Source organism: Homo sapiens, chromosome 4 (genome assembly GCF_000001405.40).
Source record: "Homo sapiens chromosome 4, GRCh38.p14 Primary Assembly".
Classification (NCBI taxonomy): domain Eukaryota; kingdom Metazoa; phylum Chordata; class Mammalia; order Primates; family Hominidae; genus Homo; species Homo sapiens.
The window spans coordinates 2,010,411-2,025,867 of NC_000004.12; the positions used below are offsets into that span (position 1 = coordinate 2,010,411).

The 15,457-nt window shown below is 45.6% G+C and overlaps 1 protein-coding gene across 1 annotated transcript in view; it reads right to left on the reverse strand.

The window, feature by feature from the left end:
• LOC124900839 (uncharacterized) overlaps window positions 1-15,457 on the reverse strand; it is a 32,909-nt gene that overhangs the window by 1,405 nt on the left and 16,047 nt on the right. The window contains exons 2-3 of the mRNA XM_047416543.1: window positions 12,995-13,126; window positions 7,260-7,332 (exon numbers count right to left, since the gene is read on the reverse strand). The gene's annotated coding sequence lies outside the window, so the exon portion shown is untranslated. The remainder of the gene's footprint in view (window positions 1-7,259; window positions 7,333-12,994; window positions 13,127-15,457) is intronic.

A 15,457-nucleotide genomic window follows, 5' to 3' on the forward strand; every position in this document is an offset into this window, starting at 1 on the left:
TCCCAGCACTTTGGGAGGCCAAGGCGGGCGGATCACCTGAGGTCGGGAGTTCGAGACCAGCCTGGCCAGCATGGAGAAACCTCGTCTCTACTAAAAATACAAAACTAGCCGGGCTTGGTGGCGCATGGCTTGCCTGTAAGCCCAGCTACTCGGGAGGCTGAGGCAGGAGAATGGCTTGAACCCGGGAGGCGGAGTCTGCGGTGAGCCGAGATTTTGCCATTGCACTCCAGCCTGGGCCACAAGAGCAAAACTCCCTCTCAAAAAAAAAAAAAAAAGTTTAATAATTATAATCTGAGGGTAAGAAATAGTTTAACAGTGGACGACATATCAAATTTAGTATGAGAAGAGTGAAAGTTACTTCAAGTTGTGAAATCATGATTGAACCGTAAACATTAGTTGGTTGAAATGAAAATTTTTGTTCACAGAAACCTGTGTGCAAACGTTTATAGCAGCTTTATTTATAATAGCCCCAAACTTGAAACAATCCGAATGATTCTGACCCCCAACTGTCTGTAGCTTTCTGTAGGATACGCAGCACTTTTCTGTATACAGTGCTTGATGCATCTTGAGTCTTCAGTTTTATGCAGGAAAAATCCAAGTTAACATCTGGCTTAACCAAGAAGACAAACCACTAGGAGGACTTAGTTACAGCATCAGAAAGCAATGGATTAATATTCAGAATGAAAAAAGGAATGCTTGTAAATCGACGAGAAAAAGACCGACAATAGACAAATGTGCAGAAGATAAGAATAGGCAATTCACAGCCTGGCCATCATAGTGAAACCCCGTTTCTACTAAAAATACGAAAACAGTGGGGCGTGGTGGTTCATGCCTGTCATCCCAGCTACTCAGGAGGCTGAGGCAGGAGAATCGCTTGAACCCAGGAGGCAGAGGTTGGAGGGAGCGGAAATCACACCACTGAACTCAGGCGTGGGCCACAGAGCGAGACTCTGTCTCAAAAAAAAAAAAAAAAAAAAAAGCAATTCGTAGGAGAAACCCAAATACCGGAGAAGCACATGGAGAGATGCTTAAATTCATCAGCAACCTGACAAACCCAAATTAAAATAACAAGATGCCTCATTACACCTATCAGATTGCAAAATTAGAAAGCCAAAGTTTTTTTCATTTTAAAACATGGTATCCAGTTGTTCCCATATTATTTGTCGAAATGACGATCCTTTCTGGACTTTTCTATCCTGACTTACTCATCTATCTTTATGCCAATACCAGACTGTCTTGGTTACTATAGCTTTCTAAAATAAGTGTTGAAATCAGGTAGTGTTAATTCTCTGACTTTTTTTTTTTTAAAGTTATTTGGGTTATTTTAGGTCCTCTGTATTTCCTTTTTTTTTTTTTTTTTTTTTTTTTTTTTTGAGGCAAGGTCTGGCTCTGTTGCCCAAGCTGGAGTGCAGTGATGCAATCTCAGCTTGCTTCAGCCTCTACCTCCTGCGTTCAAGTAATTCTCATGGCTCAGCCTTGCAAGTAGCTGGGAATACAGGCATGCACCACCAAACCTGGCTAATTTTTGTATTTTCAGTAGAGACGGGGTTTCACCCTGTTGGCCAGGCTGGTCTAGAACTCCTGACCGCAAGTGATCCACCCACCTCAGCCTTCCAAAGTGCTGGGATTACAGGTGAGCCACAGTGCCCAGCCTGCATTTCCATATAAATTTTAGAATCGTTTGTCAATTTCTACAAAAAAAAAAAAAGGCTTCTGGCATTTTGAGTGGAATTGTGTTGAATCTGTAGGTCAGTTGAGGGAGAACTGGTAACTTCTGTCTAGTGAACATAGTATTTCTCTCTGTTTATTTGGGTCTTTAAATTCTCTCAGCTAGGCTCATGGCTATGTAATCCCAGCACTTTGGGAGGCCGAGGAGGGTGGATTGCTTGAGCCCAGGAGTTGGAAACCAGCCTCAGTAACGTGGCGAAACCCCATCTCTACAACAAATATAAAAAGCTGGGCTGGTGGTGCGCCTGTAGTCCCAGCTACTTAGGAGGTTGAGGTGGGAGGATCACTTGAGCTCAGGAGTTCAAGACCAGCCTGAGCCACATGGTGGGACTCTGTCTCTAAAAAATTAAAAATAAATTAAAAAATAAATTTTCTCAGCCCCATTTTGTAGTGTTCAATGTAAGGGTCTTGCACATCTTTTCAGAATTGCCTCCAAGTATTGCATAACCTTGATGTGGTTGTAAAGGGTGTTGTTTAAAATTTTTAATTTATCAGTGTTTGTCGCCAGTATATAGAAATACAACAGATTTTTGTGTGTTGATTTTGTATCCTGCAGCCTGGCTAAACGCATTTATTTGTTCCAGTAGTTTTTTCATACATTGTATTAGTTTTCTGCAAAGACAATCATGCCATTTGTGAAGGCAGTTTTATCTTTTTTTCTAATTTATTTGCCTGACTCTGCAACATAAAGAGTCCTTATTTTGGCTGGGCATGGTGGCTCACATCTATAATCCCAGCACTTTGAGAGGCTGAGGCAGGCGGGTCACCTGAGGTCAGGAGTTCGAGACCAGCCTGGCCAACATGGTGAAACCCCATCTCTACTAAAAATACAAAAAATTAGCTGGGCGTGGTGGCAGGCGCTTGTAATTCCAGCTACCCAGGAGGCTGAGGCAGGAGAATCGCTTGAAACCAGGAGGCGGAGGTTGTAGTTAGCGGAGATCGTGCCATTGCACTCCAGCCTGGGCAACAAGAGGGAAACTCCATCTCAAAATCGAGACCAGCCTGGCCAACATGGTAAAACCCCGTCTCTACTAAAAATACAAAAATTAGCTGGACGTGGTGGCAGGCGCCTGTAATCCCAGCTACTTGGGAGGCTGAGGCAGGGGAATTGCTTGAACCCGGGAGGCGAAGGTTGCAGTGAGTTGAGATCGTGCCATTGCACTCCAGCCTGGGCGACCAAAGGGAAAAAAAAAGTCCTTATTTTTACTTTAAAGCAATAAATTTTACAACTTTACTGAATTTCTAAAAAAAAACCCTAGTGGTATTTTGATTGGCTTTCCATTGGGTTTGTAGATTAATTTAGAGAGAACTGACATCTTTATATAGTATATGATACACAGACAAGCTTTCATTTTTCTTTCTTTATGATCTTCAGTAGACGTTACTATTTTTCTCCATACAGTTTTTTTTTTTTTTAAGAGAGGGTCTTACTCTGTTGCCCAGGCTGGAATGCAGTGGTGCGATCTCAGCTCACTGCAGCCTCCGCCTCCCAAGCTCAAGCGATTCTCATGCCTCAGCCTTTCAAGTAGCTGGGACTACAGGCATATGCTACCATGCCCAGCTAATTTTTGTGTTTTTCTCTTTTTTGATATAGAGTCTCGCTCTGTTGGTGAGGCTGGGGTGCAGTGGCGCGATCTCGGCTCGCTGCAACCTCCGCCTCCCGGGGTCAAGCAATTCTCCTGCCTCTCACCTTCCCTAGTAGCCTCCGCCTCCCGGGTTCAAGTGATTCTCATCGCTCAGCCTCCTGAGTAGCTGGGATTACAGGCATGCAACACCAAGCCTGGCTAATTTTTGTATTTTCGGTAGAGACGGGATTTCACCATGTTGGCCAGGCTGGTCTCGAACTCCTGATCTCAGATCCGCCCACCTCGGCCTCCCAAACTGTTGGGATCCAGGTGTGAGCCACCACACCCAGCCTATTTTTGTGGTTTGTTTGTTTGTTTAGTAGAGATGGGGTTTTGCCATGTTGGCCAGGCTGGTCTCCAACTCCTGGCCTTGAGTGATCTCCCCGCCTTGGCCTCCCAAAGTGCTGAGATTATAGGAATGAGCCACCACGCCTGGCCAGTTCTTTCTTACTTATTTTTTTTAGAGATAGCGTCTCACTCTTGCCTAGGCTGGAGTGCAGCCGTACAATCTTGGCTCACTGCAGCCTCATAGCTGAGACTACAGGCGCGTGCCACCATGCCCAGCTAGCTTTTGAAATTTTTGTAGAGATGAAGTCTCACTATGTAGAGATGACGTCTCAAACTCTTGGCCTCAAGCAATCCTCCCACCTTGGCCTGCCAAAGAGCTGGGATAACAGGTGTGCACCACCGCGCCAGGCCTCATACAGTTCCTAATCATTTTCATTAGCTTAACTCAGATGCCTTAGTGTATTTCATGCTCTTATGAATGATATCCTGTATTCTATTTTCCAGTTGGTTATTATGAATACGAGAAATACTATTTTTTAAGTTGGACATACATCCAACAACCTTTATGGACTCCTATATTTATTCTAATAGTGGGTTGATTTAGTTGGTTATTCTGAATATTTCATTTACAGACAATGACAGTTCTGTGTCTTCCATGTATATTTATACTTTTCCTTTATTATTTTTTTGGTATTGGCCAAAGATTCCAGTCCTGTTGAACATTAGCAGGGCAGTAAGAATCCTGTTGTCTTGCTTTCAGTCGTAAAGGTATATGTCCAATTTTTTTTTCACAAGGCAGGGTCTTGCTATATTGCCCAGGCTAGTCTCAAACTCTTGGGCTCAAGGGATCCTCCTGCCTCTGCCTCCCGCCTCTGCCTCCCAAAGTGCTGAGCCTCCACACCTGGCCCATGTCTAAATTTTATCCATGAAATAATCTAAGTTATTAGTGGATCACCTTTGTCCACTTAAGGAAGTTTTCTTGTTTCCTTTATGTTCCAGAGTTTTCATCCTAACAGTGTTTCTCTTTAAGAAAAATGAGCTTTTCCGCATCTGTTGAGAAAATCTCACGCTGCCCTTCCTTTAGGCTATGAATGTGGTGCCCAAGGTCATGATAGGATCTCTGATGTTCAACCGTCCCTGTGCTCCTCAGAGGAGCCTTACTTGTCAAGATGAATTATCTTTCAGGGCCAGGGCCCGGGCAAGGGGAGAGAGCTGAGGGAGGCTTAACAGGGGTCAGAACACTCAGCCATCACAACAAATGGTATTTGAATGCAATATTTTAAAAACTCAAAATCAATGCCAGAAAAAATCAATGATAAACAACATACTGAAATTTTAAACAAAGACAGATAGTAACAGTGCCATGTCAAGCCATATTGGAGCTGAGGCAAGAAAACCAATCAGTGATACTGATGCTGTCTTCATTTAAAATTTTATATTTTGTTCACCATAGTTTTTTTGCATGAGTTTTGACTCTTTAAGGTAGTGTATTAAAATATTTACCTTTTAAAATATTTTTTCTTTTAAATTATTTTCCTTTTATAGGAGCTACTAATTGAAAAATATTTATCTTAATAACTATTTTGGAACCTCCTGAATATTTTGCCCAAAGCAAGTGCTTCACATACGTCACCCTAATCACAACCCTGTTTCTCTTAATTCGCTGTGAATTTCTTTAAAATTTGCACCTCTGATTATGAGTGAATTGTCCTATAATTTTATTTGTATATATTCATTTTTATCTAGATTGGGAATTATGGCTTTCTAGCCTTTTATTTATTTATTTGAGACGGAGTCTTGCTCTGTCGCCCAGGCTGGAGTGCAGTGGCACGATCTCCGCTCACTGCAAGCTCCACCTCCTGGGTTCACGCCATTCTCCTGCCTCAGTGTCCTGAGTAGCTGGGACTACAGGAACCCGCCACGACGCCCGGCTAATTTTTTTTTTTTTTTTTAAGTAGAGACGGGGTTTCACCGTGTTAGCCAGGATGGTCTTGATCTCCTGACCTTGTGATCCGCCTGCCTCAGCCTCCCAAAGTGCTGGGATTACAGGTGTGAGCCACCGTGCCCAGCCTAGCCTTTTAAATAAGTTGGCAAGACTTTTCATCTATTCTCAGCAGCTGTGTAAAGGCAGGAGTGACCTCTCCCCTGTTGACTTTGTGTCTGCCTCTGGGCTTTCTGTAGAGTAGGTTTAGAGGCCTTTCAAATCTCAGTGCGGCCCTGCCTGCAAGCTGCTAGAGGCTACCTTTGCCTGCATGATCTATCAGAGACTTCTCTGGCTCTTTCCGTTTTAGGACTCCCTCCTGACTTCCTGGAAATTGTGTGGGTCCAGGCTCTGTTTTCTGGTTTGTAAATCCAGAAAGACAGTCAGTTTTCTGTTAGGGTTATCTGCTTGCACCATGCCGGGGCTCCCTAGCTGTCCTCAGGCTTAAGCTTTGAAAATGGCCTTAAAACTCACCAGGATCAGTCAGCTGTGGTGGCTCATGCCTGTGATCCCAACACTTTGGAAGGCCGAGGCAGGTGGATCACCTGAGGTCAGGAGTTCAAAACCAGCCTGGCCAACATGGCAAAACCCCATCTCTACTAAAAATACAAAAATTAGCCGGGCACAGTGGTGGGCACCTGTAATCCCAGCTACTCAGGAGGCTGAGGCAGGAGCATTGCTTGAATCCGGGAGGCAGAGGTCGCAGTGAGCTGAGATCACACCATTGCACTCCAGCCTGGGCAACAGAGCAAGACTTTGTCTCAAACAAACAAACAAATTCACCAGGCTGGTCCTTTCCTCCAAGTTTTTACTTCCCTCCAAAATCCGCTTGCTTTGGTTTATGCTCCAAAGCCTTTAATCAGTGGGAGGGTTGGCCTGTTAGCTATCCCGCCATACTTTTCACTGTTACATGAGTCCATTAAGTGATATGTTTGCTTATTTTTATTCTTATTTTTTTGAGACGGATTCTCACTCTGTCGCCCAGGCTGGAGTGCAGTAGTGTGATCTTGGCTCACTGCAAGCTCCGCCTCCCGGGTTCTGGCCGTTCTCCTGCCTCAGCCTCCTGAGTATCTGGGACTACAAGTCGCCCGCCACCACGCCCGGCTAATTTTTTGTATTTTTATTAGAGATGGGGTTTCACCGTGTTAGCCAGCATGGTCTCGATCTCCTCACCTCGTGATCCGCCCGCCTCAGCCTCCCAAAGTGCTGGGATTACAGGTGTGAGCCACCATGCCCGGCCATGTTTGCTTATTTTTTAAGGTGCCCTAGATCAAATTAAAGAAGTTCCCTTCTATTCCTAATTTGCTACAGGTTTTTAAAAATCATGACCAACATTTAATTTTATCAAATGTTCTTATAAAATGTTTTGTTGTGCATACTGAGATGATTGTATGATTTTTTCACCTTTATTTTGTAAATGTGATGAATTACATTGATTGCCTTTCAAATTACATAAACCTTACTTTCCTAGAATAAGCCCAACTTGGACTATGTTATTCTTTTTTACACGTTGCTAGATTTCGCTTGTTAGTATTTTATCTAGACTACTAATGCTTTGTTCATGAGGAGAGCCTTTACAGTGTTGGGTTAAGTTTATGCAGCCTCTTGCAGTGAGTGGATCCCTCTTCTCACCTTACCTGGGAGAAGCCCTCTAGGTCATCACCACACCAGCAGCCAGTCCTAATCGGCTGCTACGACGGCTCCTGGAAGCTGGAGAAAAAAATGATGACAGAGAAAATGAGGTGGAAGGCTGGGCACAGTGGCTCATGCCTGTAATCCCAGCACTTTGGGAGGCCGAGGCAGGTGGATCATGAGGTCAAGAGATCAAGACCATCCTGGCCAACATGGTGAAACCCTGTCTCTACTAAAAATACAAAAATTAACTGGGCGTGGTGGCTCATGCCTGTAATCCCAGCTACACAGGAGGCTGAGGCAGGAGAATCGCTTGAACCTGGGAGGTGGAGGTTGCCGTGAGCTGAGATCGTGCCATTGCACTCCAGCCTGGGCACCAAGCGTGAGACTCCGTCTCAAAAAAAAAAAAAAAAAAAGAAAGAAAGAAAATGAAAAAAAAAAAGAGATGGAAAAGACAGAGGGGCCTTGGCAGAATATTGAGGACGGGATGAGAATTGAGACCACCTGTGTCCACTTAACTCTTGGGATCAAGAGCTGAGATCACCTGTGTCAACCTGATTTAATGATTATTTCCAGAAAATTCTTTCCAGGAAGATAAAACTAAATCAGTCAATCACTGTTTGCTTCAGGAAAATCTTGCAGAACAATGTATCCTGGCACATAGTTTACCAATCTGGGAACCAGCTCACTCATCAGAACCTTCATCTGGCTGTGTTTCTCTGTCCTGCACTGTTGGGCCATAAGCTCTGTCCTATCCCAATGAGTCCTTGCACTGAAAGACAGACCATCAACCATCTGAGCCCAGATTCTAAAATCCTATGAGGCCAGGCGCACTTTGGGAGGCTGAGGTGGGAGGATTGCGTGAGCCCAGGAGTTAGAGACCAGCCTTGGCAACACAGCAAGACTCTGTCTCTACAAAACACTAAAAAATTAGCCGGGTGTGGTGGAGCACACCTGTAGTCCCAGCTACTTGGGAGGTTGATGGGGGAGGATTGCTTGAGCCCAGGAGGTTGAGGCTGCAGTGAGCTGTGGTTGCACCACTGCAATCTAGCCCGGGCAACAGAGCAAGACCCTGTCTCTAAAAATAAACAAGTTTTCTGGGAGTCACTGTTGAGTTGTTGGCAGTGAATGGTCCTAAATGTTCCCATGGGATTCGGCTGAGACGGCCTCCCCAGGATGGCCTGAGACCTGCGACTGGAACCAGCACTCTCCCCGTGACCCTCTGGTTTTCTTTTGTGAAAGCTCCTTGTGTTCCAGGATTGAGAAAGCCTTCTTACGTGTGCTTTGATTATCTGATGAGATGAAGATTTTGATCCTTGTGGAAACTACTTTGCTCCTAACAACAATTCTGTGTGTCCGTCTGTCCTTGTCACCTTCTGTTGTGAAGAGCTCCTTGGGAAGAGGATGAACTAACACAGGTCTGAATGTCCCTGTCTCAAGGGCACCAAGGGCCAGTGAGTTCAGATCTCGTGAATCCACTGTTCTTATCTAACAAACTAAGTCCTCATCTGCACCTTCAGTTTTGCCTTGTCTTCAGACAGATTCTCTGCTCACGCCTGTCCTCCTAGGGAGACCCTCAGGTCAGCACTGCCTTCAGTGGAGGGTTTGCAACCCCAGGTTGCGAGCTCTTGCCAGGGTGTGTGGTGGCTGGGGTCCTGCCCTCAGGAGGGGTTTCTGCTCCCGGGTGGGCGTGCTCCCGCTGTGACCTCAGTGCTCCCCTTCCCGAATGGTGCCCTTCCCTCAAAGACCACTTCGGGGCCGGGCGCGGTGGCTCACGCCTGTAATCCCAGCACTTTGGGAGGCCGAGGTGGGGCGGGTCATGAGGCCAGGAGATTGAGACCATCCTGGCTAACACGGTGAAACCCCGTCTCTACTAAAAATACAAAAAATTAGCTGGGCGTGGTGGCGGGCGCCTGTAGTCCCAGCTACTCCGGAGGCTGAGGCAGGAGAATGGCGTGAACCTGGGAGGCAGAGCTTGCAGTGAGCCGAGATGGCGCCACCGCACTCCAGCCTGGGTGACAGAGGGAGACTCCATCTCAAAAAAAAAAAAAAAAGAAAAGAAAAGAAAAATTAATTCCTAAAGGATTCCTTTATCAAATAAAAATGGGAAAACGTAAAACTCTTTCAGATCCCTCCAATTGCAATGTGAACTTTATGACCTTTATTGCACTCTTGCTGCAAGCTCCTCCACTGCCCCATCCCTCTTTTATTTATTTTTTTAGAGGCAGGGTCTTCTTATGTTGCCCAGGCTGTTCTTGAACTCCTGAGCTCAGGTGGTCTTCCCCGCTCAGCCTTTCCAGTAGCTGGAGCCCAGGCCCACACCAGCATTCCTGGCTATCTTTCAAAAATTAATTTTCATTTTAATTTTTGTACAGATGGGGTCTTTTTGTGTTGCTCAGGCTGGGATGCCCATTGTTTGAATTCATGTCCTTTCTCTTCTGTTTGGCCAGAAACCCCTAAGGCTCGACTGCCTCTTAAAGGTAAATCATCTCAGAAACAGGCAAGCCCCTTCTCTCTCTCCTTCCTTCTTTCCTTCCTTCCTTCCTTCCTCCTTCCCTCTCTCCCTCCCTCCCTACCTCCCTCCCTTCCTTCCTTCCTACCCTCTTCTTTTTCTTTTTCTTTCTCCTTCCTTTCTTCTTTCTTTTTCTTTCTTTCTTTTCTTTCTTCTTTCCTTCCTTCCTCCCTCCCTCTCCCTTTCTTCCTTTCTTCCCTCTTTCTCTTTATATCTTTCTTTCTCCTTCCTTCCTTTCTCTCTCTCTCTCTCTCTCTTTCTTTCTTTTGTTTTGTTTTTAGAGTCTTGTTCTGTTGCCCAGGATGGAGTGCAGTGGTGCCATCTCGGCTCACTGCCTACTCCGCCTCCCGGATTCACGGCATTCTCCTGCCTCAGCCTCCTGAGTAGCTGGGACTACAGGCGCCCGCCACCATGCCCGGCTAATTTTTTGTATTTTTAGTAGAGACGGGGTTTCAGCGTGTTAGCCAGGATGGTCTTGATCTCCTGACCTCATGATCCGCCCGCCTTGGCCTCCTAAAGTATTGGGATTACTGGCGTGAGCCACCGCACCCGGTCTCTTTCTTTCTTTCTTTCCCTCTTTCTTTTCTTTTCTTTTCTTTCTTTCTTTCCTTTCTTTCTTTCTTTCTTTCTTTCTTTCTTTCTTTCTTTCTTTCTTTCTTTCTTTCTTTCTTTCTTTCTTCTTTCTTTTTTCTTTTTCTTTCCATAATTTCTCTTTCTCCTTCCTTCCTTCCTTCCTTTATTTATTTTTCTTGAGATGGAGTCTCACTCTGTCACCCAGGCTGGAGTGCAGTGGCATGATCTCAGCTCATTACATCCTCCGCCTCCCAGGTTCAAGCGATTCTCTGTCTCAGCCTCCCTAGTAGCTGGGATTACAGGCGAGTGTGACCATGCCTGGCTAATTTTTGTATTTTTAGTAGAGATGGGGTTTCACCATGTTGGACAAGCTGGTCTCGAACTCCTGGGCTCGAGTAATCCACCTGCCTCGGTCTCCCAAAGTTCTGGGTTTACAGGCTTGAGCCACCATGACTGTCCTGGCTTATTTTTTAAATAACAGCTTTATTGAAGAATAATTTATATATTAAAAATTTACCCTTTTGGAAGTCCAAGCCATAGCAATCAGGCAAGAGAAAGAAATAAAAAGCATGCATATAGGAAAAAAAGTCAAACTATCTCTGTGGGGTAAAGAAAGAGAGATCGGATTGTTACTGTGTCTTTGTAGAAAAGGAAGATATAAGGAACTCCATTTTGATCTGTACTAAGAAAAATTGTTTCTGCTTTGAGATGCTGTTAACCTGTAACTTTAGTCCCAACCCTGTGCTCACAGAAACATGTGCTGTATTGAATCAAAGTTCAATGGATTTAGGGCTGTGCGGGCTGTGCCTTGTTAACAATATGTTTGCACGGCATATGCTTAGTAAAAGTCATCGCCATCCTCCATTCTCGATTAACCAGGGACACAATGCACTGCGGAAAGCCGCAGGAACCTCTGCCCAAGAAAGCCTGGGAATTGTCCAAGGTTTCCCCCAACTGAGACAGCCTGAGATATGGCCTCGTGGGAAAGGAAAGACCTTACCATCCCCCAGCCCGACACCAGTAAAGGGTCTGTGCTGAGGAGGAGGAGTGAAAGAGGGAGGCCTCTTTGCAGTTGAGATAAGAGGAAGGCTTCTGCCTCCTGCTCGTCCCTGGGAATGGAATGTCTCGGTGGAAAGCTGACGATTCCCATTCGTTCTGTTCTGAGATAGGAGAAAACCGCCCTGTGGCTGGAGGCGAGATATGCTGGCAGCAACACTGCTGTGTTACTCTTTGCTACACTGAGATGTTTGGGTAAAGAGAAACATAAATCCAGCCTACGTGCACATCCAGGCACAGTACCTTTCCTTGAACTTATTCGTGATACAGATTCCTTTGCTTACGTTTCCCTGCTGACCATCTCCCCACCTGTTGCCCTGCTACACTCCCCTCGCTAAAATAGTAAAAATAATGATCAATAAATACTGAGGGAACTCAGAGGCTGGTGCCGCTGTGGGTCCTCCGTATGCTGAGCGCCGGTCCCCTTAGCCCACTGTTCTTTCTCTGTAGTTTGTCTCTGTGTCTTATTTCTTTTCTCAGTCCCTCGTCCCACCTGACGAGAAATACCCACAGGTGTGAAGGGGCTGGCCCCCTTCAATCTCTCTTCGCTGATGCTATCATTCTATACCTAGAAAACCCTAAAACTCCACCAAAAGTCTCCTGAACTGTAATGACTGCAGTAAAGTTTCAAGATACAAAATCAACATTCAAAAGTCAGCAGTATTTCTTTTCTTTTCTTTTTTGAGACAGAGTCTTGCTCTGTCACCAGGCTGGAGTGCAGTGGCACAATCTGGGCTCAAATGATTCTCCTGCCCCAGCCTCCCAAGTAGCTGGGACTAGAGGTGCATGCCACCACGCCCAGCTAATTTTCGTTTTTTAGTAGAGACATGGTTTCACCATGTTGGCCAGGATGGTCTCAATCTCTTGACCTCGTGATCTGCCTGCCTCAGCCTCCCAAAGTGCTGGGATTACAGGTGTGAGCCACCACGCCCGGCCAGTCAGCGGCATTTGTGTAAACCAATAGCATCCAAACGGAGAGCCAAATCAAGAATGCTATCCCGTTTACAATAGCCACACACAAAAATAAAATACCTAGGAATACGTCTAACCAGGGAGGTGAAAGATATTGATAAGGAAAGTTACAAAACACTGCTGAAAGAAGTCACAGATGACACAAACAAATGGAAAAAATATCCTATGTTCATGGATTGGAATAATCAATATTGTTACAATGGCCATACTGGGCTGGGCACAGTGGCTCACACGCGTAGTCCCAGTGCTTTGGGAGGCCAAGGAAGGCCTGATCTTTGACAAAGGTAACAAAAATAAGCAATGGGGTAAGGACTCCCTATTCAATAAATGGTGCTGGGATAACTGGCTAACTATATGCAGAAGAATAAAACTGAACCCCTACCTTTCACCTTATACAAAAACTAAAGATGGATTAAAGATTTAAATGGAAGACCACAAACTATAAGAATCCTAGAAGAAAACCTAGGAAACACCATTCTGGACATCAGCCTTGGGAAAGAATTTATTACTTAAGTCCTCAAAAGCAATTGCAACAACAACAACAACAAATTGACAAGTGGGACCTAGTGACACTGAAGAGTGTACGCACAGCAAAAGAAACTATCACAGAGTAAACAGACAGCTTACCGAATAGGAGAAAATATTCTCAGAATATTCCTATGAAGGTGCGATATCCAGAATCTACAAGGATTCGGTTCAGAAGACAGGAGGGTTTGGCAGCCTTATTGCCACATTTTCTTGATGTAGAAGTGTTGCAATCTGGAAGACACAAACTTTACTAAGTGGTTAGACAAGCAAGGGCCACAAATTAGTAGTAATGATATACCTACCAAAGGTCCCAGGTGGGGTAAAAACCAGGTGAGACTTGGGAGGGCATTTCTGACAGTTGACCAGATTAGCTGGGTCTGTGCTCTGGTTATGTCTATGTAACCAGGGAGCTTGCTCATAAATCTTTTGAATGTTAACATTATTATGTCCAGAGTTGTTAATATAGGTGCAGCAGGTTTTGTTAATAACCGTACAGACTCCACCTTGTTCAGCTCGTTAAATAATCCAACACTAGTCTGTTATCAAGGATTATATTTGCCATACAGTCTAGGGATTCTTGTATTCCCTTTTAATGCCTGACCTGTGCTGGTGGCTAATGATTCTAGGGTTTGAGTCGAATTCTTCAGGGTTGACTCGTGGTAGGCAAAGTCACATCAGGGGGCTAAGATTGTCCTATTACTACCCTGATTCCTCCCAGAATTAATCCTATTGCTCATTATCTTCTGATGTTCTTAGGTCTTATGGGGTTATAGACGCGGCCCCTGGAGGGGCAAGGGTGGTCAACATACATTCACTCCTGTTCCAAGATTTTGATATGTAAGGGAAAGCTACTTCTAAAAGAACAGGTGGGCTCCCTGGGGAGCTGAGAGCTGGGTGCTGGGAGTGGTTACGGGGTGGGATTCTTCCCACTTGTGGCCACAAACAAAAACGAACCCAGTTGGGACACAAATAGAGGCCCTGTGGGGCGTGATGTGTATCCTTTCCTGCCAAGTTGGGTCTATAGAGATATTCCTTCCCTGCTCCAATGGGGGTGGTTGAACAACCTTTGTTTTCCAGGACAGGGTGGTACTCCCACCTTCCCAGATTAGACAGTTGTTTTTTCCCCTATATGCTCTGATCTTGGAGAAGGCACCATCTATAATTTCCTCACTCACAAGTGGGATCCGATTTACTTCACTGCAGCCTTGAGAATTTGGCAACAAGTTGTGTGAGAACATTGCAGGGAAGCTTCTGCTTTTGTGTCGTTAACAACACAACAGTGAATGCAAAAGAGAATCGTTAGCACACCGGAGACATAGATAGCCAGCTTTCTGGGTCCAAGTGACAGTGGTGGGGAGTGCGGTACAGGGGTAGGGAGATGGAGGTTCAGGTGAAATCCATTAAGTGGAGGAGAGTTCCACCTAACAAGTAGGGGTCTGGGTACTTTGGGATCACTGTGGTTGGTTAGGAAGTCTGGGGAGATGGCTGTGAGATTTTCCAGATAGGCCAGAAGATGGAACTCTCTGTCCTGGGGATGTTGATGACAAACCCAGCAACCATGAAGATGGTTCCCTGATGCTGTAATTTTTGAAATATTTACTATAGCATTCTGTTACCACCCACCCTGGATCAGGGTGATTGGGAGGGCAAGCAGGATAAACAGTGGCAGCATGGTGTCCAGTTAGGCCTTAGAGTGGCCTCTACACCCAACAAGGACAAAAGAGGTATTTCCCAGTGGGAGGCAGTTGGCCAGAGTGATAGAAAAGAAGTATTACAGGAAAAAGAGAAAAATTAAAACTCCTATTCCCACCCACAGCTGGTGTGCCTGGCTTGCGTAGTGGCCAGACCCTGTGCTTGCTCACTCATGCACCCCTCACCGCTCTTTGCCTGGCTCACCCTTGGCAGGCCTGGGATCCAAGCTGGTAGGATGAGCCAAGCACAGTCTGCCAGGCCAAGTGGGCAGAATGAGCCCAGTGGGCCTGAGCAAAACTCAAGAAAAGGCACCACTGGCCACAGAGGTTTCCAGCTGGTGAAGTGACACCTCAAGGATCCTGTGACAAACCCATATCATTCTGCCCCGGGCCCCCCCAAATCCCACATCCTCCTCACACTTCAAAACACAATCATGCCTTCCCAACAGTCCCCCAAAGTCTTAACACAAAAGTCCAAGTCCAAAGTCTCATCTGAGACAAGGCAAGTTCCTTCCACCTATGAGCCTGTAAAATAAAAAGCAACTAATTACTTACAAGATACAATGGGGGTACAGGCATTGGGTAAATACTCCTGTTCCAAAAGGGAGAAATTGGCCAAACAAAGGGGCTAAGGCCCCATGCAAGTCTGAAATCTAGCAGGGCAGTCATTACATCTTAAAGCTCCAAAATAATCTCTTTTGACTCCATGTCCCACACCCAGGGCATGCTGATGCAAGGGGTGGACTCCCAAGGCCTTGGGCAGTTCTGCCTCTGTGACTCTGCAGGGTACAGCCCCCACAGCTGCTTTCACAGGCTGGTGTTGAGTGCCTGCAGTATTTTCAGGTGCACAGTGGAAGCTGTCAGTGGATCT